At 44.5% G+C, this 25,888-nt stretch overlaps 1 protein-coding gene, 1 long non-coding RNA gene and 1 pseudogene across 2 annotated transcripts, besides 1 other annotated feature; 1 reads left to right on the top strand and 2 right to left on the bottom strand.

The window, feature by feature from the left end:
• Positions 1–635: 635 nt before the first annotated feature.
• Positions 636–2,686, bottom strand: CCDC185 (coiled-coil domain containing 185). The gene has a single exon (NM_152610.3). It carries the CDS (start codon positions 2,623–2,625, stop codon positions 754–756), a length of 1,872 nt encoding a protein of 623 aa, NP_689823.2. The 5' UTR covers positions 2,626–2,686; the 3' UTR covers positions 636–753.
• Positions 1,621–2,122: an enhancer, noted in NCBI's record as "H3K4me1 hESC enhancer chr1:223567321-223567822 (GRCh37/hg19 assembly coordinates)". NCBI's record gives its function as "activates a minimal SCP1, AML or CMV promoter by ChIP-STARR-seq in naive and primed H9 embryonic stem cells {active_cell/tissue: H9 hESC(naive and primed)}" and the evidence as "EXISTENCE:reporter gene assay evidence [ECO:0000049][PMID:30033119]".
• Positions 2,687–2,917: 231 nt separating the features above from the next.
• Positions 2,918–23,290, top strand: LOC105373025 (uncharacterized). The gene is made up of 5 exons (XR_922645.2): positions 2,918–3,447; positions 4,351–4,441; positions 21,842–21,987; positions 22,763–22,917; positions 23,147–23,290. It is a non-coding gene; the product is annotated as an uncharacterized LOC105373025 (long non-coding RNA).
• On the bottom strand, positions 22,145–22,279 carry RNU4-57P (RNA, U4 small nuclear 57, pseudogene; annotated as a pseudogene).
• Positions 23,291–25,888: the final 2,598 nt, after the last annotated feature.

Raw genomic sequence — 25,888 nt, 5'->3', positions numbered from 1 at the left:
TCAGGGATCTAGAACTAGAAATACCATTTGACCCAGCCATCCATTACTGGGTATATACCCAAAGGACTATAAATCATGCTGCTATAAAGACACATGCACACGTATGTTTATTGCGGCATTATTCACAATAGCAAAGACTTGGAACCAACCCAAATGTCCAACAATGATAGACTGGATTAAGAAAATGTGGCACATATACACCATGGAATACTATGCAGCCATAAAAAATGATGAGTTCACGTCCTTTGTAGGGACATGGATGAAATTGGAAACCATCATTCTCAGTAAACTATCGCAAGAACAACAAACCAAACACCGCATATTCTCACTCATAGGTGGGAATTGAACAATGAGATCACATGGACACAGGAAGGGGAATATCACACTCTGGGGACTGTGGTGGGGAGGGGGGAGGGGGGAGGGATAGCATTGGGAGATATACCTAATGCTAGATGACGAGTTAGTGGGTGCAGCGCACCAGCATGGCACATGTATACATATGTAACTAACCTGTACAATGTGCACATGTACCCTAAAACTTAAAGTATAATTTAAAAAAACAAAAATTCCCAAAATTTTCTCTCCGACCCTCTAAACTATCCAAGTGAATCAATAAACCAGTTCATGAGAGGAAATTGCAGCTATTTTACATGCTTTTTTAAAATCAATGTTCAATTATAATCAGATTACAAAAGGAATCACATTGCCACATCTCCTTCTGGCTGCGCACTGTAAGCCAGGCGTCCTTGGTTCTCAGTAACCCCTGTTCTGCTGACAGGCACGGAGCTGGGCCTCTAGTACCATCTGATCAAGGGAGCTGTTGGGAGGCGCTCTCTCCTCTCTCCTGGAGGCCTGAGGGAGCTTCTGGAACTCCTGGAAGTTTGGGTCTTTCCCTTGGGAAATGTGCTGCACCCTCTGCTCCTTTTTCTTAATGGCCTCCTTGATGCCCTCAATGTGACACTTTTCCTCCTTCTCGGCTTTCAGTTTCAGGATGTGGTGGTTTTTCTCCCTCAGGTGGTTGAGCTCCCGGAGGTGCTGCACCTTGTCCCTAGTGGTCTTGTGCACGTGACTCCTGGCCTGTCGGATCTTCTCATCCGCCAGCTCCACCAGAATTCTTTTGCGCATCTTCCTCTGTTCCTCTGACTCCCCTGCGCGCCACCTGGCCTGCTGCAACTGCTCTTCCTCCTTCTGGGCCTTCTCCCTCAGCTCGCGTTGCCGCTCCTTCCTCAGGCCCTGGTGTATCTCCTGGGACCGCTGGAAACTTTGTTCCAGGGACAGCTGCCTAAGGAGCTCCTCAGCCTTGGCCTGGCAGTCCATGAGGACCTTCCGGGCCTGGTAATTGATGAGGGAGCTCAGGTTGGTGTCCTGGACCTTCTTCTGGCCCTCCACGGCATGTAGGTGCCTCTTGCGACAGGCTTCCACCAGCCTCCTCTGCAGCTGCAGGCTGTGCTGCTCCCGGAGGTTCCGTAGCATCTTCTCCTGCTCCCGCAGGCGCCGCACCTGGCACTGTTTTCGGTGCTCTGCCTGGGCGCGCGCCTTCTCCAGCTTCTCCTGGCGCGGGCTCTCCTGGTCCTCTGGTTGCTCCTTCCACCGGCTTTCCCCCGGGGGCACGTTCTTCCTCTGGCTGTCCCGCCGCAGGCCGCGCTGCTCAGGGCTCTGGAGGGTCTTGCGCTGCTCCTTCTCCTGCCACTGCTCCTGGCTCTGCCGCAGCAGCAGCCGGCGCTCCCGCTCCAGGGTCATCTGGACCTTCTGATCCGAGCGCTTCAGCTCCTCCCAGGCCTTAGCCGCCTGCTGCTGCAGCTCCCGTATCCTCTGGGCCTTCTTGAGACGGGTCAGCACCAGGGCCACAATCTGCTGGTCCTGGGAGGACACCACCACCTCTTCCAGCTTGCTCTTCAGGACCTGGGTGTGCGGGCTCCGCATCTCTTTGCTGGAGGCCAAGGGCTGGGAGTCCCGGCTGGCTAATGACTCAACCTGGTCGCTGCTGTCTCTCTTCTGGGCGCACACGCAGGCTGAGTGCCTCTTGAACTTTTGCGAGGGCACAGAAGACCGCTCCGAGGGAACTGAGGAAGGGGACCAGCGACCTAGATGTCTGCCGAGTGGCACTGCCCACTGGTCTCCACCCTGTGCCTTTTCTACCCTGAATGTGCCACTCAGGGGAGTGCCAGCTCCTCCGGGGCAAGGCGGGGGCGAGTCTCCCTGGGCCAGAGGGTAATGCGGGCAGGGCTGCGGCCGCTGGGGTGGCAGCTGGGTCTGCGGCTGCCAAGCCGGGCGGGGCTTGGTTCCTGTCTCTCCCCAGGCATCTTCCAGGCGCCTGCTGCGGGGCCGGTGCTTCCTGGAACGTTCCAGGGGCCTGCGGGCCACATCGCTCAGGCTTCGGCTGCCCCGCAGTGAATCTGAGCACCCGCGCCTGCGAGGCCGCGGGGTGAACGAACAGTGCGGGTGCAGCCAGCACGCCCCAGCTTCGCTCTCCGCACCCGGAGTCCCGGCCCGGGAGCACGCGGTGGAGTCGGCTCCGGACCTCTGCCCGCCCAGCCGCTGCGTGGACTCTCGTTCTCCGCCGGGCCGCGGGGGTTCCCAGAGATCCCGGTAGGGCGGCTGGGAGAAGTGGCTGAAGCCTGCCATCCCTCCCTCTGGGCACGCGCAGCGTCTGCCCAAGGGGCCTGAGACCTCCCGAGGACGCTGCAGACACCCGCCCTGCCCCCCGGTCCCGAGGTCCGGGTCGCCTGTGACGCTCGGGCCACTTCACAATGCGCCTGGCAGCTGGGTCCTCGCAGTCTTCAGACCTTGCCCGGCGCCGCCCACCCCAGCTTTGCTAGCACCCGGAGCACCTGGAATGGGAAGGACAGGAGGCTGGGGATGGGGGTGGTGGGGGTCGGGTGGGGGAGAGAGGGGTTGTATGTTGGAGGAGGGAATATGTAGGAAATCAGGGTGACATTTAAAGCTGAGGGTGCATAGTGTCCCCCACCAGTGTTTCAGGGAGAAATTTGAACTCGCATTTGCACACAAACAGCAGGATTTTAAGAGAGCCCAGGTGAAGGCGTCACCCTCAGAATGGAAGGGGTGGGGAGAAGGGCCGGGGTGCAGTCTCAGGGAGGAGGTACCCTTAGCTGCAGAATCACCGTCCTGCACGTGTGTACCTCTGCAATGTGGTCAAATAGAACGGCTGTGGACGCGACACCACCCATTTGCCTTTTAAGTTAGCAAGCCCAAAGTATGCTTTAATGTTTACTTTTTAAGATTTTTAGAAAAGGTAGAAGACGACTCTATTTCCTAATATGGTAATTACTGCTTTTGTCAAAATGTGAATGCTGCGTGCACATTTCTGCAATAGCATTAGTGAACACCATGTTGAAATCACATTTTTTTTTCCCTTTTCCTCCAATTTTGTGGGATTCTCGTTCCTTGTTGAGGCACCCTTGGCTAATGGGAAAAGCACTGGATCTGGTAGAGAAAAAGAATTTGAATCTCCTCTACCACTCTTCACTCATGGGCTCTTGGGCAAATTCCCTAAGTTTCCCTGACCTCCAGTTCCAGCAAGGTGGAATGGGAAGTGGGGCCTCATCATATGGGCATTGCAGGACTGTTGTGAGGGTCAGATGAAATTATGCATCCAGAGGTTGGCACCAGAATACATTCAATAAATATTATTTTGGTGCCATGCTAAGCGTCAGTTAAAAGTTTTAAGGGTTGGGCTGGGTGGTGGCTCATGCCTGTAATCCTAGCATGTTGGGAAGGCAAGGCAGGAGGATTCCTTGAGCCCAGGACTTAGACCAGTCTGGGCAACATAGAGAGATCCTGCTTCTATATAAAAATTTTAAAAATTAGCTGGACATGGTGGGTGCATTTGTAGTGCCAGCTACTCTGGAAGCTGAGGTAGAAGGATTGCTTGAGCCCAGGAATTTGAGGCTGCAGTGAGCCATGATTGTGTCACTGCACCCCAGCCTGGGCAAGAGTGAGACTTTGTCTCAAAAACAAAGTGTTAAGACTTAAAGTAATATATGAATTTACAAATATTTCTGCAGATTCCTAGCTTAAGAAAAGAATGAAATTAATGTAATCCTAAAATAGTTTAAGTAAAGGATAGAGTGCTAGAAAGGGGAGACTCCAAGCTCTGTCGTGTCCACATCATACTGTGGATCTTGGCTAAGTCATTTCTCTTCTCTGGGGTTGCTGTGGTCTGAAGGTTTGTGTTTCCCCCAAATTCATATGTTAAAATTCTAACCCTCAAGGTGATAGTATTAGGAGGTGATTAGGTCATATGGGTGGAGCCCTCATCAATGGGATTAGTGCCCTTATAAAAGGAGCCCCAGAGTAATCCCTCATCCCTTCTGTCACGCGAGGACACAGTGAAAAGATGGCCATCTCTGAACCAGGGAGAGGATCCTCACCAGACACCAAATCTGATGTCTTGATCTTGGACTTCTTAGCCTTCAAAATGGTGAGAAATAAATTTCATTCATTTATATGCCACCCAATCTGTGGTATTTTGTTAATAGCATCTGGAAGAGACTAAGGCAGGGTTGCAATGAGGAAACAGTTCTGGATAGCATTCTCCAAGTATGACCATTCCTTAAAGAAGAAAAATGAGTATTTACCCACACCAGTCCTCTTCATTCACGTCTCCTTGAAGCATCACAGCAACCCCAGCTAGGAAGGACCAATAGCCTTGATAATATTTTCCACTGGACAAATCTGGGACTTGGCCATATTAACTGATTTCCCCAGGGTCACTTGGTCAATGGCAGGAGTTTTGACTTCAGATTTACTTCTCTTTCCATGATAGCGTGCTGCCTGCCTCTCGGGGAATACACTTTAAATTGAGCCATGCTTTTAAGAGAATTATGATCTGATGTACAGCAGAGGGTCATGGACACCATGTCCTTGAAGCCACGTGGTAGCAGCCTTAACTACAGTGGAAGGAGCCACTCTGCCTGGTTAGGATCTCACCAGCATGTCTATAGCTGGGGATAAGAAGTTTTTCTACCCTAGATTTTATTGGCACCATTTGTATCCTTGTTAAATAAATTATTTTATGTGAATATAGTCCTTACTAGATGGTAATTTAAAAAGTAAACCAAATTTGAATGGAATCATTTAACTTTTGAAGTTAGGAAATTTTTTTCATGTATTGAGTTGTGCTGATAGCTGAGTGTCATATCTCTCTGTTGATGCTTTGTAAAACATTTTGCAGGGACAGGTCAATACCCAGGCTACTCCCATAGAGCAGTGTTATGTGGGTGAAAGTATACTCACCTGAAAGCCAGGAGACCTGCCACCAGCCAGTTCTGCTAGCAGCTGAGTCACCTGAGCAGTCATTTCACCTTTCCTCATCCCTGTAAAGTCTCTTTCAGTCCCAAATGCAGCTGGAGAAAGGGTTCAATCTAGTAAATGCTTCAGCCTTTGTTCTGTAAAGCAAAAATGAGTTAATCCATGAAAAATGCTTAGAGCAGTGTCTGTCTGCATGTGGTAGCTGCCTTATAAATATTAGCCATTAGAATCATCATTATCATTATGCCAAGAGCACTAAAACCATGGCAGCGTAGAGCTGAATTTAAAGACTTAGTTTGGGATGGAGTCAGAATGAGAACCCAAGGGCTCAGATTTCCAGTTCGGGGCTCTTTGGCCTCTTGCTTCCTCTGAAGGTTCTCAGGATTCCTCAGGGAATTGTGTATGGCTCACTCACCTCTGCTGACGATGGAATAAAGGACACAGTCTTCACTTCATAATGTCACACACATTTATTGATAATCTGGGCCAGGATTAGAAAGATGATATTGCTATGAGAAACAGGTCTGGGTAGCAGATGTTTTAAGTGGTTAAACAGTTCACCTTAACAGATTTCCCAGGGGAAGGTGGGGGTGTGCTCTGTCTGAATTGTTTATAAGAGAGGGCTCCATACAGGATGACACTGGAGTGAAACCTGGAAGGACAGTTAGGATTGTCCAGACAGGGATGAGCAGGAAGACACCAGGCCGAGGAAGCTGCATGGACTGCAGTGTGGAGCCTCGAATGCCTGGCACATTGGGGTTGTGTGATTTGTGTAGCAGGGGCATGGAGAGTGTGTGCAGTGAAGTGGCAGGTGATGAGGCCAGAAAGGTAGGCTGGGGCAGATTCTGGAGGGCCTGCTATGCCAAGCCAGGAAGCATAGACATCCTCCCGCTGGGCTGCAGCATCCCAGCTGTGTCCGGAAGAGTTCCGGGATTCCTCAGAGCTGTGTTGGGCCCAGAGGGGCAGGGCTGGAGGACTTTAGGGCAGGCTCTGAGGCCTCTGTCCTTGCTTTACCCAGGGCAGCTTAGACTTTATCTGTTTTATATCTTGGAGCTCCTGATAACACTTCACTGAAAAAATTTGGGGTTCTTCTGTTTCAATCCTTTTTTATGAGGGTTGAAATCCACTGTATAGATCACAGGGAGAAGTCAATAAAACTCTTGAAACCAGGAAAGAAACCCAATGGGATCTAGATTTTAGAAAGCTCACCCTGGCAGCAGCGTGGATGATCAATTAGTAGGCTGGTTCAGCAGTCTGGGTGGGCAATAAGGAAACGCAAACCAGGGCAATAGCCAGGGGACAGGAAGGAATGGATTGGAGGAACAGGTCAGAGTTTGAGGGTTCATGTCATGGGGATGCTTTGATATGGAGAAGGAGGGTTTCTAACCCAAGTGGCAGTGATAGCAGATCTCCAGTCTAGGTGATCTTGAAGACAACAATCTTGGAAATTTGGTAAAAGAAGTTATAATAACAAGTGACCCCTACACAGAACAGCAAATAGAATGTCTGGAGTAAACCACCAAAACTTGAAAGAGAAACCTCTTCCTTTGAGGGTCCTGGTGGGGAAGCTCCAAGCCTTAGCACATCGTCACAGAGCCAAGGAAATCTTCCTCACCTGCATCTGTAGCCTGTTATGGAGACCCCTCAGAGGATCCCAGGCTGGAAGCTAAAGTCAGCTCTTTCCTGGGGCAGACGAAGGAGATGTTTTGCAAATGCTACACTGCCAAACATTCCCTTGATACTAAGAACAATCATTTTTATTTGGCAGAAAAAAATCCTCAATGTATTTTGCTGGATGCCTTAGAATGTGAGCCTTCTGCCAAATGAAGACCTGGACCTCCTAATTTGTTGGAGACTTGGCAAATATGGCAGAATGTGCTCTGACCCCACAATTCAAATTCATCTGTGGAATTGAAATGCGTTCCACGCCCTTCCTCAGAACAGATTGTTAGCTGTTGTGGTGACTTCCAATTCGATGTCTTAGCAGAGCATCTAATTCTGGGATGGGTCAAATGGGAGAAAAAAGCTATAGCTACTCTGTCTAATATGGCAGCCCGTACTCATACATGGTAGGTGCCCTTGAGCATGAATAATTTGAATTGATGTGTGCTGTAAGTATAAAATACACACTGGATCTCAAAAGCAGTATGAAAAAATGTAAAATATCTCAATACTTTTTTTTATATTGGTTACATGCTGAGATGATAGTATTTTGAACCCATTAGGCTAGATTAAATGTATTACTGAGATTAATTTCATGTTTCTTGTTACTTATATTAAAGTGGCTCCTAATAAAAATTGCACATGTGCATATACAATAGATATCACAGTACATGTCCTTTGGACAGAGCTGCTGTAGATTAATTGAGGTTCCCCAATATTCATGTAGTAAGCACAAGCTTTTAATATTTAGGTAATTTTTATTCTATATAAATGTATTGCTTTGAAACCACCTTTACTAAGAGGATAATATTTATGTGGAAAGTTCTTTTTTTCCTTAATGGCTGGATGATAGGGTAAATTATTAATTTCCTTTTTGTTTTGTTTTGTTTTTGAGACAGAGTCTCACTCTGTCGCCCAGGCTGGAGTGCAGTGGCGCAATCTTGGCTCACTGCAACCTCTGCCTCCCGGGTCCAAGTGATTCTCCTGCCTCAGCCTCCCAAGAAACTGGGACTATAGGCGTGCACCACCATGCCCAGGTAATTTTTGTATTTTTAGTAGAGATGGGTTTTCACCATGTTGGCCAGGCTGGTCTCGAACTCCTGACCTCATGTGATCTGCCCACCTTGACCTTCCAAAGTGCTGGGGTTACAGGCATGAGCCACCGTGCCTGGCCAGTTTTCTTTCTCTCTCTCTCTCTCTTTTTTTTTTTAGACAGAGTCTCACTCTGTCACCAGGCGGGAATGCAGTGGTGTGATCTCACTGCAGCTTCGACCTCCCAGGCTCAAGTGATTCTCCCACCTCAGCCTCTTGAGTAGCTAGGACTACAGGCATGCAGCACCATGCCTGGCTAATTGTTGTATTTTTTGTAGAGACAGGGTTTCACCATGGTGTCCAGCCTGCTCTCAAACTCCCAGGCTCAAGTGATCTACCTGCCTCAGCCTCCCAAAGTGCTTGGATTACAAGCATGAGCTACCATATGCGGCAATTATTAATTTTCAAAAATCAGTTTTGCAGTACAATTTCACAGGATTTCTGTTCTTTTATGCCCCACCTCCACTTTTTCCTCACTACACAGGAAAACATTCCCCTAAGTAACAGTATCTGAGAATACAGTACAGGACCACTCTCTACATGAGCCTATGAGATATGGACTGGTTAAAAATATCAGACCTGCAAAACAGTGAAAAAAAAAAAAAAAAGTATGCAAACACCCAGGGCAATAAGTGAAAAACTCATGTTAATGTAGTGCTAAGAATGAAAACTGCAGCCTATAAACTTCTTTTTTAAAAAAAGAAAATAGTGGGATAAGGGCCTAGAAATAGGAAAGTTGTTACCATGGAAACAATCACTTACCCACAATGCAAATATTCCATGAGTATGAGAGGTTATATGTATAAAAATGGTGGCAGATACATATTGAGCGGGTGTTAGATCATGGCTCTAAGTGCTTTATGTGCAAACCCTACCACAACTATGTGAAATAGGAACTGTTCTTTCTGGGCCAACTGTTCTTTCTAAGAGGGAATTGCTCAAGATCACGAAATTAGTCGGCAGGGGAGTCAGGATCAGATCCTGGTCCCTCACCCCAACCTCACACCGGATGGCCTTCTTGCTAGGACTGCATAATTATAGCCAGAGAAAATCACGTGTAGCCTGGACAGCATAAGAGTATTTTAAACACTTCTAGTTTTGCTGCACCTTAGGATTTTAATGTTTTTCACATTTGTAAACTTCATGCAATTAAAAGCAGGAGATGATAATTAACCAATTCTTATGAAGAAAGGAAGAACTCGAAATAAGTATGCTTAGAGTTGACAGTGAGTTCAATTCCACAGGGAGATAACAGGACTGAGCTGCAGTTACTGGATCACTCAAAACTGACACAGAAACACAAAACGGTGTGATAAAGTTGCTGATTTTTGAAATGTTATTACAAATAGTTTGTAATGTTAAAACACAGGAAGACATTGACCCAGTGGAAACTTGAGGAAATAGTCTCGCTTAATAACGTATCCACTTTGGAGTTCCTTCATCCTCAGCATCACATAGGCATTACATTGAATAATTTTATTTTTAATTTTAAAGAACGTGCTTTGTTGAAACTTTAAAAAAATGTGTGAGGCTTTTAAAGTTCCATTTTTAAAATGTTTTCGGTTTTTGCTAAAATTGAGCATGAAGTTTTCAACCTTAAAGGAAATTTGTTTTTCAGAAAGATAGAAGTGAGGGAAGATAGCACTGCAATAGAATTCTGGTGATGGATGGTTTCCTGTGATGGCTAACTGTGCATATATTGTAATATGCTGTGCATTGTGAATCCTTTGCTGATGTTAGGTAGGGTAGGGCACCCTCAGCCCACTTAAATTCTAGCCTCTGCATCCAGCAGATTTATTATACTATGAAAGAATTTTCAGTGGGCAACTCATAGTGTTCTTTTCACTCAAAGCCACCCACACATGGGGCTGGAGTAGAATTCAGAAACTGTGGGTGGCCCTGTCTGTGCATTCAGCAACTGCTTCTGTCCACAAGAACCGTTTGAAAGCACCTTCCTCCACCTACCTGGGTCTCTGCACGGCCATACCTCTGGTGAGAGTCATTAACTGTTCTCCCCTTTGCATGGAATGGGGTTCCTTCTTGAAGTCTTGGTTCAGACAAAGCCATCCCTGATCAGATTAAATTCTCTACTATACACTCTCACAGCTCCTTTAGAGTAGCAGCTTCTCGCCTTGGTGGGTGTGTTCATTGCAGGCCTACACTTGAGAGTTCTGTGAAGATTTGATTAACCAAGTCATCCTCCAGTAAGTTCCACGAGAGAAAGGATCTCACCTGCTTTTTTCACCCCCACTCAGGAACTTGATAAATATTTGTTGAATGAATGAAATAAATGATTGACTGCACTAAAAATTCACAGTGGCTCATGCCTGTAATCCCAGCACTTTGGGAGGCCGAGGCAGGTGGATCACGAGGTCAGGAGATTGAGACCATCTTGGCTAACACGGTGAAACTCTGTCTCTACTAAAAATAGAAAAAATTAGCTAGAGTGGTGGCACATGCCTGTAGTCCCAGCTACTCGGAAGGCTGAGGTGGGAGAATCACTTGAACTCAGGAGGCGGAGGTTGCAGTGAGCCGAGATTGCGCCACTGCACTCCAGCCTGGGAGACAGAGCAAGACTCTGCCTCAAAAAAAAAAAAAAAAATCAGTGTCTAAAGGTTGGGTGCAGTGGCTCATGCCTGTAATCCCAGCACTTTGGGAGGCTGAGGTGGGAGAATCACTTGAGGTCAGTAGTTCGAGACCAGCCTGGCCAACATGGTGAAACCCCGTCTCTACTAAAAATACATAAATTACCTGGTGGCATGGTGGCAGGCACCTGTAATCCCAGCTATTCGGGAGGCTGAGGCAGGAGAGTTGCTTGAACCCGGGAGGCGGAGATTGCAGTGAGCAGAGATTGCACCACCGCACTCCAGCCTAAGTGACAGAATGAGATTCTGTCTCAAAAAAAAAAAACCAAAAACAAAACTATAAAAAATAAAAATTCACAGTGTCTACGCACTGCTAAGCCAGTCAGTGGTAGGTGTCAGTGCCTCTATTTGCATATGTGCATCTAGTGCAGGGATGATTTCTAATCTTTTCTATCTGACTCAAGCCCCTGTCCACACTTTTGCCCACTCACTCTTTGCTCCTGTTCTCAGCCCCTACATTTTAAACAAGATCAAGGTCATCAAAGCAAACTTCCTCAACTTCCCCTTCCTCTGGGTCTTCATCCATTTTCTCCTCCTTTCTGACACAGGGTGGAAATTGACCCTGTCTCTTGCCAAAGCCCATTCCCCCTACTCTAATTCTGTACCTCCATCTTCCCCAGGCCCTTGCTGTCTCCTGCATCCCCTATTTTGACTCCTCTTTCTTCTTTTCTCTCTCTCCTTACAACTATGTTCAGGTGACTTCCATCTCCCATGACCCTTATAGTTTAGCTCTAGGGCAGCACTGTCCAACAGAACTTTCTGAGATAAGGGAAATGCGCTGTATCTGTGCTATCCAATATGGAGCCCACAGGTAGTTACTGAGCACATGAAATATGGCTGGCATGACTGAGGAAATAGACTTTTAATTTTATTTAATTCTAACTTATTAAAATTAAAAGAGGCACGTGTGGCTGGTGCCCTCCATATTGGACAGCAGAGTTATAAAATGTGAGCTCTGAAGTCATATTGCTTAGATTAAAATAAACTATAGTTTTGATCTCTGAACCATATGACCTTGGGCAACTTACTTAAGTTCTTTAAGTATTCAACTTCTTCATCTAAAGTTGTGATAGTAGTACTGAAGTATAGGTTTGTCATGGATGAGATAATTCGTAGCATTACATTTAGCAGATAGTGTATACTCCTAGCATAAACACTCAAAATTTGCTTCTTGTAGTTATCGTCATCATCATCATCTTTGTTATTCAGACATGTTCACATTGTTTTTTCAAACTTCAGCTCAAGATGCATTAATAATCAACAACATTAATTTCGTGGACTTTGGCTAGTATTTTTTAAAAAGAAATACTTTACAATAGAATAAGAAATATGAGTGGTTTTCATGTAGTAGAGGTAGATATGAAGTCGTGAAATGTTTGTTTCTATGGGTGAACTATGTACCAGGTGTTGAAGTAAAATATATTTCTTACCATAGGTTGCATTTTCTAAAAAAGTTGTGTTTCTCTAGAAGTGTTGTTTTAGAGTTTAGAAGGTCAAGACTATGTCCTAGAGGCCAAATCCAGTGGTCTCTTCTCAGTCTCATCTTGATTTCTTGGACCTATTTGGCACTGAGGTCCACCTTCCATTCGACTGAATTTCTTTCCTTCCTTGACTTACTTTGCTTACTTTTTCTTCTCTCCACCCAGTGTTTCTCCAAGGGTCACTTGGGTTCTTTTTTTAAAAAACAGTCTCACTTTGTTGCCCAGACTGGAGTGCAGTGGTTGGATTATGACTTACTGTAGCCTTGACCTCCCAGGCTCAAGCAATCCTCCTGCCTCAGCCCCCTGAGTAGCTGGGACTATAGGCACATGCCAACATGCCCAGCTAACTTTTAAAATTTTTGTAGAGACATGGTCTCACTGTTTCCCAGGCTGGTCTCAAACTCCTGGGCTAAAGCCATCCTGCTACCTTGGTCTCACAATCCCATGCCTGCTGGGATTACAGACGTGAGCCACAGCACCCGGCCCTCCAAGAGCCATTGGTGTCAAAATCAGTCTAGAGGTGTAAGAACATGTTTATTCTCCAAGGTGGGCCTCCTGATTGTGTCTCCTGTCACCCTTGCGACCTCTCCTCCCACACTGAATTCAGCTCATCTATGTAAACGATAGGATTTTGCAGACACGACAAGTGTGACTTATGAGGATTTGTCATAAAAGATCTTGTGGTCTCTGCCTTTCTCTCATGGATCACTTGCTCCTGGGGAGCCAGATGCCGTGTTATGAGGACACTCATCTTCATTTGGATCCTTTAGCCGAGTTAAATCTTCAGATCACTGCAGCCCAGCCGACAACTTGACTGCAACCTCGCCAGATGCCTGGAGCCAGATTCCTGATTTATAGAAACCATGAGATCAAAAATGTTTCCTTGTTTTTTAAGATGCTGAATTTTGGGGTAATTACATCAATAGAAAAGGAAGCGGGTGTGTGCTTTAAGCTGCATGTCCCTAGACCCCGTCCTGGGCCTACTGAATCTGGTTCCCCAGGGACAGCCTCAGGATGGCCTCACAGTTTGCATTAACATCTCTGGGTACTTTTTCTACCCTCTACAGTTTAAGACCCACTGCTCTTTTTTTGTTTTCACTGACTGTCCTCCCTCCCTCACTCCCTCCATTTCTTCCTTTTCCTATAGCACAGGTCCCAAAAGTTCTCTCCAGGGCCTCCTCCCTTTTCATCGTGCACTCCTTAAGCAAGTGCATCTATTCTGTGGCTTTAGCCGACAGTCTTGGAGCAGCTCAGGGACCTGCTTCTCTTCCTTGGAGCCCTCTACAAAGCTCGTGAGACTGAGTTTCCAACCGCTTACTGGGTATCTCCATATGGATTTTTTTCTGGCAACTCAAACCCAACATTTCCAACATTGAATTCATAACCATCCTCACAAAATCTCCTTTTTATTTGTATTCCCTGCTTTTGTTAGTAGGTTTATAGCTCAGTCTCTTAGACTCTAAGTCTTGACGTCATCTTTGCATTCTCTTTTTCCCTCACCCTCAGCACATAGGGGTCCCTGAGATCTTAACATTGCCCCTCTTCAGAGCCTCCCTTGGCTGCGGCTATTGCTCTTGTTCACACTTCATTATCCCTTCCCTGGATGGTTGGGAAGCTTCCTGATTGTCTTCTTGTCCTATTCTTTCCCCATCCAAACTTCATGCTTCCTAAAAGACTAGTATCTGGTTCAACTGATCATGACACTTCCTCACTCAAAATCCTTTGATGCAGTCTATCATTAATGGGCATTTGGGTTAATTCCGTGTTGCTATTGTGAATAGTGCTGCAATGAACATATGCATGCATGTATCTTTGTAACAGAATGATTTATATTCCTTTGGGTTTACACCCAGTAATGAGATTGCTAGGTCAAATGGTATTTCTGGTTCTAGATCTTTGAGGAATCGCCACACCATCTTCCACAATGGTTGAACTGATAGCATTCCTATGTATCTGCAGCATCACTGCATCTATGTGGTACATATACATCATGGAATACTACGTGGCTATAAAGAGGAATAAGATCATGTCCTTTGCAGGGGCATGGATGGAGCTGGAAGCCATTATCCTCAGCAAACTAACACAGGAACAGAAAACCAAACACCACATGTTCTCATTTATACATGGGAGCTGAACAATGAGAACACATGGACCCAGGGAAGGGAACAACACACACTGGGGCCTGTCGGGGGTGGGGTGGTGGGGAAGGGAGAGCATTAGGAAAAATAGCTAATGCATGCTGGGCTTAATACCTAGGTGATGGGTTGATAGGTGCAGCAAACCTGCCTATGTACCCTGGAACTTAAAAAAAAAATCATTTGATGGCTTCCCACTGTCTTTTGATAAAGTTCAAATTTTTTGGAGTAACCCCAGTAAGATGTTCCATCCGTATTTCTATCAGCCACCTTGCAATCCATCCCTAAACACACATGCTCCCTAGGCACAAAGGGTTGTCCACAATGTCCCAGACATGCCTTGAAGTTTTCCAGATATTTCTCATACTGTTATGATAACTATAGAATTAAAATTCTCCCTTGAGAATAAAAAATCATGATATAAAGCCCATTGCAAAATTTACTTGTGATGCAATCTACAATGGTAGATGTAGTCTGCTCCTGTGCCCTTCCATCCCAGCCCCCAAACCAGCCAGGGAGAAGGCAGGGTAGGGGTGTGGAAGCAAATCCCATCTGGCTTCTGGTTACTTTGTTGCCCTCTGATATGGTTTGGTTCTGTGTCCCCACCCAAATCTCATCTTGCATTATTGCTCCCATAATCCCCACGTGTCATCGGAGGGACCCAGTGAGAGATAATTGAATCATGGAGGCGGGTTTTCCCGTGCTGTTTTCATGATAGAAAATAAGTCTCAGCCAGGTGCGGTGGCTCACGTCTGTAATCCCAGCACTTTGGGAGGCTGAGACGGGCGGATCACCTGAGGTCAGGAGTTTGAGACCAGCCTGGCCAATCTGGTGAAACCCCGCCCCTAGTAAAAATATAAAAATTAGCTGGGCATGGTGGCGGGCACCTGTAATACCCCTACTCAGGAGGCGGAGGCAGGAGAAAGGAGAATCACTTGAACCCGGGAGGTGGAGGTTGCAGTGAGCCAAGAACACGCCATTGCACTCCAGCCTGGGTGACAAGAGCAAAACTCTGTCTCAAAAAAAAAAACGAAAGGAAAAAGAAAATAAGTCTCATGAGACCTTTTGGTTTTATAAAGGGCAGTTCCCCTGCGCACGCCCTCTTGCCTGCCTCCAAGTAAGACATGACTTGCTCTTCCTTTGCCTTCTACCATGATTGTGAGGCCTCCCCAGTCATGTGGAACTGTGAGTCCATTAAACCTACTTTTCTTTATAAATTACCCAGTCTTGGGTATTTCTTCATAGCAGTATGAAAATGGACTAGTATACCTTCAGATAATGGAAATTAAAAAAGCCCATTCAGCATCCTGTGAGTCTTCATTTGCTTTGGCTACACTGGTTATGCTTTTGGGAAAAGACAAATTCATTCATTCATTGAGCCAGTAAGCATTTATCAACCCTGTCCTAGCCATAGTGGTAGATATAAAGATTAAGATCCAGTCCTTGTTCTTTTTCAACTTGGATACACCAGCTAGATAGTAGCAGTTGCCAAAGGAAAGATGCTAACATATCAGAGAACTTCACAGGTTAAAAAAAATCACTTCTGGATTGGAGATGTAGGGAGTGGAGATAAATTATTGCCTATCTCTCTCCACTTGTATATAAGCTCCAGGAGGACAGGAATCTTTGCTTTGTTTAGTTGTATATTTCTAGCATGCAAAGCAGTGCCTGGCACATAGTAGAACTCAATACATATTTGTTGAATGAATAGGTGCTTGAATTTTAAAAATGTATATAAAAGAAACATAGGCCTGGGTTTATGACTATGAGCTCTAAGGCTGAGATGATGTCTATTTGTATTTTTACGGATTTGCATTATGTTCAGCATATTTTAGGCACTCAATAAATTCTGAATGAAAGTTGAGTAAGTGATTTCATAGCTGAGGTTTGTTTCCTTCTCACCCGTTTTCTTGGTGTCATTAAGTATTAACCTTCCTGAAGAAAATGTCCATGCCAAGCTGACAGTGATTTTAAAGGTAAGAGTCTTTAAGAAACCAAAAAAAAAAAAAAAAAAGGCAGTATGATAGAAAATGAAGGCAGTGTGACAGAAAATGAGATGAAAGGAAAAGGTCAGGAAAATAACATTTTAAAATTTAATTCACTACTGAAAGTATTTTTGAGAGCACTGATTTACCTTTACCTGGTAGTCAACTGAAACGGAAAACATGACTATAGGTGATGATGACGTTGAACCATCCCATTAGCAATATTTGTTTGATTTAATCCAAGAACCAAATATTGCTATACAGATGCCAAAGCTTAAAGTTATTGGAAATGTTTTATCCAATTCAGAATTAAATAAAAAAGTGAAAGGCCCAGATAATATTTCTGTTGCTGTTTTTTACCCCAGTGATATAAATTTAACTAGCTGAAATCATATTCTAAGTATCAGATATTTACACCGACTCTGAAGTGGCAACTACCTTTGCCTATTGAAATTACTTGGGGCTTGTTTAATGAGAAGATTATCCATTAAGAACCCCACCAGATACAGAATTAATTGCTGGGGAAAGCATCAAAAGCAAGAGAACATCATAGTCCTTGCTCTAAAGGAGCTTACCAGGTAAGCAGGTGAAACAAATATGAACAAAGCAAGAAGAAAAAGCAAAAAGCAAGAGAACATCATAGTCCTTGCCCTAAAGGAGCGTACCAGGTAAGCAGGTGAAACAAATATGAACAAAGCAAGAAAAAAAAAGCAAATAAATTATGAGTGTAGATTAATTTACAGCCCTTTGGTAGAGTCAGCTAGTTGCCCATTGAAACCTGAGCTTCCCTTCAACTTTAGGAACAGTTGTTCCTGGGACTACATTTCTCAGGTCATTTTGCACTTATGTGAGACCATGTGACTAGTTGGCCATGTGACCTCATTATGGTCAATGGAATGAGGGCAGGATAGATGTGGGCCACTTTGGGGCTTGGCCTATATATGCCTTAGCCTTTCTCCCCATGGGCTGATGTAAAGAAAACAATTATATGCATATAATAATACATTTATATCTAATTATATAAATATTTATGTATAATAGATATTTATATATAATACATTATTATATATCACATTATATAATATATAATGATATAAAATATATAATTTTAATTTTAAGTAAAATTATATAATAGACAAAATTATATATAATATGCTATATATTATACATTTTATATTAATTATAATTAATTGATTATATAATATGATTTTATTATATATTTATATAATTAATTATATTACATATTATATAATAGGTAGTTATATAATATATAATTATATATTATGTAATATATGTTACATATTCTATAATGGATAATTATATATACTGTAATATATGTAATATAAAAAGATATATACTGTAATATAGATAACATATATTATATATACACACATATATACATATTATATAAATATAATATTGTCTTGACCCAAGTTTTGAGGCCCTGGCTTAAGGCTGGTCAGTTCTGCTTCTTGATTTGCTGATTGAGTCCACAACCCCAATCACTCAACCAATTCCCGTTTTGGGCACTCATATGGGGCCACTGCCCTGGTTGCCCCAGGTACCAGAAAACTAGGGGTAACCACTATGCTCCACAGCCCCCTGAAATTACTCAAATTGCTCAAATCAGACAGTCCACAGGGAGTTCATAAAACCTAGCTAACCCCATTCCACTTGCTGTACATAAGCTGACCCAAACAGCCCTGGCACAATCTCTGTGTGGCCCTGTGTGGCAGTCTTTTCTTGTTTGGAGCTATAAGTAACAAAGAATTCTACCTTTCATCTATCCAAATGCCTTTGTGGTGTGTCCAGCCATCTTTAAATCTTACAAAACAGCTGAAATTGCAAACACCAGAAACTCTTGGAAACCATGTGTTGACTGGAACAAAGTTGCTTTCTGCCTGGGTTCCTGAATGACTGCTGTGCCCCAACTCCACTCATCCTCAACTTCCCCATTCGTGCCCCTCCCTTATCACCCTGGACTGTCCTATGAGAAAGAAACTTCTATTATATTGGAGTCATTACATGTTTTGCCTTATCTGTTATGGCAGTTTAACCCGCCCTAATTATCACAGGAAATCAACCAACTCGCAGCGAAGGATATAGTGTGGGCTGAGGAAACTTCCATGGAGGGACGGGGGGGCTCCTATTCCACCTCCTATGAGAAGGGGAAGCTCTGGAGGGGAGCTCAAGGTTGATCTTTAACAAAATGGCAAACGAGTTTAGCAGTTAACGTTATTGCACATCCCTCCCTTCCTCGTCCAAGGGAAAGCCTTCAGTCCAAGGACTCCTTATGAGACAGATCTTATTATTTCTATTTTTCATGGTATTCTCAAAGTTAACTCCATCTCATTAAGCACCAAGTTCATTCCCACTTTCTACCCTCTTTATCTTTTTTCTCGCATCTCGTGCATTTCAAATTAGTTCCTAATTACCCTAGTATTACATAATCTCCTCACCACCCGCCAAATAATAAAATAAAAGTCATAGCAATAAAACTAAAGTATTTTTGACCACCCCTCCCAAACAATTCAATCTGCTCATGCTAACCTGGATGTAACCCCACTGCTGTGAATCATTTCAGACTTTTTTCTTTTGTGTAATATAAATCCATAGAAAATCTATGGTATTGCCTTTCCATAAATTGTATCTTGCTGTACATTGTGTTCTACAATTTGCTTCTTTTGCTCAGCAACAATGTTTCACAGAGCTCTCCTGTTCTTAGGTGGAAATCTAATTTATTCCTAATGGCTACACAGTGTTCCTTAGTATGACTAGACCACAATTTATTTAGTCATTCCATCATTCAGCTTGTTTCCAATTTTCCATTGTTAGAAAAATATCTGCAGTGAATATCTTTGGACCTACTTTCCTGAGCACTTACTATGTGCTAGGTGCTCTTCAGGTGCTCCTAAGGAATAATGCCATTCCCCTCAATGGTCGTGTGAAGTAAGTACTGGCATCATCTCTGTTTAATAGACGAAATATCCAAGTGAATGCATCAGGGTTTCTTTAGGGGTAGATGCTGAACAGTGCAATTGCAGGATCACTTTCCCCTCTTTTTGTTGTTTTTTTTTTTTTGAGATGGAGTCTCGCTCTGTCGCCAGGCTGGAGTACAATGGCGAGATCTTGGCTCACTGCAACCTCCGCCTCCCGAGTTCAAGCAATTCTCCTGCCTCAGCTTCCCAGGTAGCTGGGACTACAGGCGCGTGCCGCCATGCCCAGCTAATTTTTGTATTTTTAGTAGAGTCGGGGTTTCACCATGTTGGCCAGGATGGTCTTGATCTCTTGACCTCATGATCCACCCACCTTGGCCTCCCAAAGTGCTGGGATTACAGGCATGAGCCCCTGCGCCCGGCCTCCCCTCCTTGCCAGTGGTGGCCTGTTCTAAAAGTGCCTGGGATTTGTTTTAATTAGGTATGTTAAGACACACAGACGTAGAAATGACTGTCATGAAGCTAAAAGTTTTTAAGAGTCAGAGATGCCTAGAGGCGGGGGCATGGCATGCCATGCAGGGCCACGTGGGGAAGCACCAGGTAGGTCTAGAGGCAGAAGGAGTGAGAGTGCGGTGGGGAACATGGACAAGAGCCTTTATTGTACTTTCATGGGAAGGAACAGGTGAGGCAGTGTAAACAGATTTAAGATGGGCCAGTTTGAATGGTTTCAGCAGACTCTGGGGCATAGGGGCTGTGCCTAGTTGTCTGGTACCTGGACCTGGGGTGGTAAGGGCAGGAGAATAGTGGCCCTGAGTGTGACAGCTCATAGAGGAGGGTGGGGGGGAGTGTAGTCTACCATTTCTTTTTTGTGTTTTGAGACGGAGTCTCACTCTGTTGCCCAGGATGGAGTACAGTGGCGCCATCTCGGCTCACTGCATGCTCCCTCTTCCGGGTTCACGCCATTCTCCTGCCTCAGCCTCCTGAGTAGCTGGGACTACAGGCGCCCGCCACCATGCCCGGCTAATTTTTTCTATTTTTTGGTAGAGATGGGGTTTCACTGTGTTAGCCAGGATGGTCTCGATCTCCTGACCTCGTAATTCGCCTGCCTTGGCCTCCCAAAGTGCTGGGATTACAGGCGTGAGCCACTGCGCCCGGCCGTGGTCTACTATTTCTAGGAATTGTCTAGTTCTGGGAAGCGCAGCCCCTTGAGGGTCACCAAGGTCCCAAATGTCAAAGCATCAAAATACAGAAAACAAAAGACATGGTCAATATACAGAAATTTACACTCGTACCAGCAGAATATTGGAACTCCCTTTTCCCTGCATTATCACCAAACACCTGGTATTATCAAACTTACAGTATTTGTAATCCATCTGATGTGTGAAAACAGTGTCTCTTAATTGGTATTCCCCAATTAATTAATGATGTTGAGCATCTTTCATGTATCTGTGGGCCAATGGTCAATAGTCCCTTTCTGGTTCACCTCTCCATTTTCTTCCCACCCCTCCATGGTCTTCTCCCTTGGTCTGCAGACACAAGCTACACTTTTCTGCATGGCTTTCTAAGCCCTTCTTGATATGGTCCGAGTGCTTCTCAGAAGTTTTATCTCTTGGCATTTTCCAACTTGCATTCTAAATTCTAACCTTGGTCTCTGTCCCCATCCTTCCCTCCTGACCTTTGCACAAGCTGTTCCTTCTGCCTAGAAAACTCACTGTATGTCCTTTCCCCTTTATTTCTGACACACACACACACACACACACACACACACACACACCCTCTACTCATATGACATATGAGGTCACCTCCAGGACCCCTTTCCTGCCACCTTCTCTTATGTACTTTCCAATCACAGCAATTACCCCATGATTGTGTAATTGCAGGTTTGTCTTTCAACTCTCCCCATAGATTGTAAACTTGTTAAAGAAAAGGATTATGTTTTTGTTTTTGTATCCTCCATACCTGACACAATGATGGAAATATACTTGGTACACAGTAGCGCACTTCGAATGGAAGGAAGAATGGATGGGAGTGTGACTGAATGAGCTTATTTATCCTGTTCCACACTCTAGCCCCTGAAGCTTGTCTCCAAGGCTGAGGCAATGGGTGAATCAGATACTGTGAAAATTCTAGATTTGCACCCAAACAGCATTTGGTACAATGCTAGCCTCATGTTCTGGTATGTTCTGGGCTCATTAAAGGGTTTGTGGTTGATTATGTGTATTCCTGGGTGTGCAGGATTGAGGAAAGCCAGAAGAGAAGAACAACTGGCTCCAGTTTGGTTTTCAATGTCAGGAAGAGATTGGTGCGAATGATTTATTTTCCTTTGAATATTAATTAAGGAAAATAAGTCACCATCTATCTCTATCTTCACATGGAAGGTGCCATAGACTGCCAGTTTCCCATGTCCCCTCCAATCCATTCTCTTCTTTCTGGTCACCAGGCTGTCCAATAAAGACTACATTTCCCAGCTTCCCTTGCAGCTAGGTATGGCCATGTGACTAGGTTCTCAGTAATGATATGTGAGAGAGCTAATTTGTGTAACTTCTTCCTCATTTGCCTGAAAGAAAATTGTTGCCTTAGACTTTTCTTTTCTTTCTCCCCGTACTGCCCCCTAACGGCTTTCCTTTGGGCTAGACCCCAGAAATGCCAATGATCCAGCTTCAGTGATGCAAATGAAGACCTCAGGGATCAACAGAGCAATGAGAGAAGGAACCTAGGTCCCTGAATGACTCTGGAGCAGAGATGCCCCAGACATCTTACCATGCCCCTTACCTCGAATGGTAAGAAATTTACATATATGAGAAATAAACTTCTATTTAAGTTACTATATATTTGGAACACTTTGTTACAACAACTTAGCCCATACTGTAACCTACATTTTTCCTCTACCTCTTCCCAAATTTATTATTCTGCCTAGTGCTTAACATCATCTAACACAAAAAATGTTTTCCTTCTTTTCTTCTCATCTGTCTTCCTTAATTAGAATAGTTCCTGAAAGGCAGGGGTTTTTCAGTTAGCAATAATCACCTCAGATAAACTTCACTGGCTATAATACTGCTACTGCACAAAGCTGAAGGCAAGGGTTTTTGTCTTTGTTCACTGTTGCATTCCCAGCATCTAGAAGAGTGTCCAGTTCATAGTAAGTGCTCAACAAATATATAGAGAGTGAACTATTATTGGCCACCAAAAGTGAAATCATAATGTATGCCACGAGGAAAGAAGAGTGAAAACAGTGGGGAACTTCATGCATGGAGGGTAGAGAGAAGGTGTGTAATCAGAGGAGGGGCACAGTCTCTAAGAAAAAAAGCCCCTGGTGCTCTCCTGTGTTTGGGAGGAGGACTCTGAGGCTTTGCTTTATTTCCTGTCCCCATTGGTATTGGTTCTGGAGTTGAGACAGGAAGAGAGATAAAGTCAGGTTTCCATACCTGCTCCCACTTAATAGGAAGTAAACCATATTCTCTTCTACATTCCATCTACCCTCATTTTCCTTCCTCTTCTTGAGAAAAACATATAACAAAATAAATTCAAGATGACTTATTTTGTAAACTCCCTTAGGTAGAAGGTATTCATAGAAATAGCTGTGGAATGGCAGAAAAACCATTAGGAAGAAGTTGAACTGCCTTAACTTCAAGTCTGAGGCTTTCATTAGCTGGGTGGTCTCCAAAAACTGGACTGACCTCTTTGGCCTTCACCATCCTCACCCATGATGAGTATGTTTTTGTTTTATATTTTACACTTTAAAAAATATACCATATTTTTGTTGTGGGATGTTACAGGCTCAATTGTGTCCCCCCCAAAAATTTATAGGTTGAAGCCCTAACCCCCAGTACTTCAGAACAAGAACGTATTTGGAGACAGGGTCTTTAAAAGGGCAATGAAGTTAGAATGGGGTTGTTAGGGTGTTCCTTAATCGAATATGACTGGTGTCTTTAAAAAAAGAGGAGATGAGGACGCAGACACAACAGAGGAAAGACCATGTGATCACACAGAGAAGATGGTAGTCTACAAGCAATGTACAGGGACCTCAGAAGGAACCAACCCTGCTGGCACCTTGATCTTGGACCTCTAGCCTCCAGGACTGTGAGAAAATAAATGTCTGTTGTTTATGCCACCCAATCTGTGGTATTTTGTTTTGGCAGCCCTACAAAAATAATACATGGGATAATGTAGAAAAAGATTAATAATAATAACATATGTAATAATAATAACCAAAATGGCCAAATAGGAACAGCTCTGGTCTACAGCTCCCAGTGTGAGCGACGCAGAAGATGGGTGATTTCTGCATTTCCATCTGAGGTACCGGGTTCCTCTCACTAGGGAGTGCCAGACAGTGGGCGCAGGTTAGTGGGTGCACGCACCATGCGTGAGCCAAAGCAGGGTGAGGCATTGCCTCACTAGGGAAGCACAAGGGGTCAGGGAGTTCCCTTTCCTAGTCAAAGAAAGGGGTGACAGATGGCACCTGGAAAATCAGGTCACTCCCACCCGAATACTGCGCTTTTCCGACGGGCTTAAAAAATGGTGCACCAGGAGATTATATCCCGCACATGGCTCAGAGGGTCCTACGCCCACGGAGTCTCGCTGATTGCTAGCACAGCAGTCTGAGATCAAACTGCAAGGCGGCAGCGAGGCTGACGGAGGGGTGCCCGCCATTGCCCAGGCTTGCTTAGGTAAACAAAGCAGCCTGGAAGTTCGAACTGGGTGGAGCCCACCACAGCTCAAGGAGGCCTGCCTGCCTCTGTAGGCTCCACCTCTGGGGGCAGGGCACAGACAAACAAAAAGACAGCAGTAACCTCTGCAGACTTAATGTCCCTGTCTGACAGCTTTGAAGCGAGCAGTGGTTCTCCCAGCATGCAGCTGGAGATCTGAGAATGGGCAGACTGCCTCCTCAAGTGGGTCCCTGACCCCTGACCCCTGAGCAGCCTAACTGGGAGGCACCCCCCAGTAGGGGCAGACTGACACCTCACTGGGCCGGGTACTCCTCTGAGACAAAACTTCCAGAGGAACGATCAGACAGCAGCATTTGTGGTTCACGATAAACTGCTGTTCTGCAAACACCGCTGCGGATAGCCAGGCAAACAGGGTCTGGAGTGGACCTCTAGCAAACTCCAACAGACTTGCAGCAGAGCGTCCTGTCTGTCAGAAGGAAAACTAACAAACAGAAAGGACATCCACACCAAAAACCCATCTGTACATCACCATCATCAAAGACCAAAAGTAGATAAAACCACAAAGATGGGGAAAAAACAGAGCAGAAAAACTGGAAACTCTAAAAAGCAGAGCACCTCTCCTCTTCCAAAGGAACGCAGTTCCTCACCAGCAACGGAACAAAGCTGGACGGAGAATGACTTTGACGAGTTGAGAGAAAAAGGCTTCAGACGATCAAACTACGAGCTACAGGAGGAAATTCAAACCAAAGGCAAAGAAATTAAAAACTTTGAAAAAAATTTAGACGAATGTATAACTAGAATAACCAATACAGAGAAGTGCTTAAAGGAGCTGATGGAGCTGAAAGCCAAGGCTCGAGAACTATGTGAAGAATGCAGAAGCCTCAGGAGCCGATGTGATCAACTGGAAGAAAGGGTACCAGTGATGAAAGATGAAATGAATGACATGATGAAGCGAGAAGGGAAGTTTAGAGAAAAAAGAACAAAAAGAAACGAACAAAGCCTCCAAGAAATATGGGACTATGTGAAAAGACCAAATCTATGTCTGACTGGTGTACCTGAAAGTGACAGGGAGAATGGAACCAAGTTGGAAAACACTCTGCAGGATATTATCCAGGAGAACTTCCCCAATCTAGCAAGGCAGACCAACATTCAGATTCAGGAAATACAGAGAACGCCACAGAGATACTCCTCGAGAAGATCAACTCCAAGACACATAATTGTCAGATTCACCAAAGTTGAAATGAAGGAAAAAATGTTAAGGGCAGCCAGAGAGAAAGGTCGGGTTACCCACAAAGGGAAACCCATCAGACTAACAGCTGATCTCTCGGCAGAAACTCTATGAGACAGAACAGAGTGGGGGCCAATATTTAACATTCTTAAAGAAAAGAATTTTCAACCCAGAATTTCATATCCAGCCAAACTAAGCTTCATAAGTGAAGGAGAAATAAAATCCTTTACAGACAAGCAAATGCTGAGAGATTTTGTCACCACCAAGCCTGCCCTAAAAGAGCTCCTGAAGGAAGCACCAAACATGGAAAGGAACAACCGGTACCAGCCGCTGCAAAATCATGCCAAAATATAAAGACCATCGAGACTAGGAAGAAACTGCATCAACTAAGGAGCAAAATAACCAGCTAACATCATAATGACAGGATCAAATTCACACATAACAATATTAACTTTAAATGTAAATGGACTAAATGCTCCAATTAAAAGACACAGACTGGCAAATTGGATAAAGAGTCAAGACCCATCAGTGTGCTGTATTCAGCAAACCCATCTCACATGCAGAGACACACATAGGCTCAAAATAAAAGGATGGAGGAAGATCTACCAAGCAAATGGGAAACTAAAAAAGGCAGGGTTTGCAATCCTAGTCTCTGATAAAACAGATTTTAAACCAACAAAGATCAAAAGAGACAAAGAAGGCCATTACATAATGGTAAAGGGATCAATTCAACAAGAAGAGCTAACTAACCTAAATATATATGCACCCAATACAGGAGCACCCAGA

The sequence above is a fragment of the Homo sapiens genome, chromosome 1, assembly GCF_000001405.40.
Source record: "Homo sapiens chromosome 1, GRCh38.p14 Primary Assembly".
Taxonomy (NCBI): domain Eukaryota; kingdom Metazoa; phylum Chordata; class Mammalia; order Primates; family Hominidae; genus Homo; species Homo sapiens.
The sequence above is the reverse complement of the archived record's forward strand: the minus strand, read 5'-3'. Positions and strand labels throughout refer to the sequence as shown.

Excerpts from the sequence above, each read along its gene's own strand:
- CCDC185 (NM_152610.3), bottom strand. The coding sequence starts at position 2,625 with ATGGCAGGCTTCAGCCACTTCTCCCAGCCGCCCTACCGGGATCTCTGG.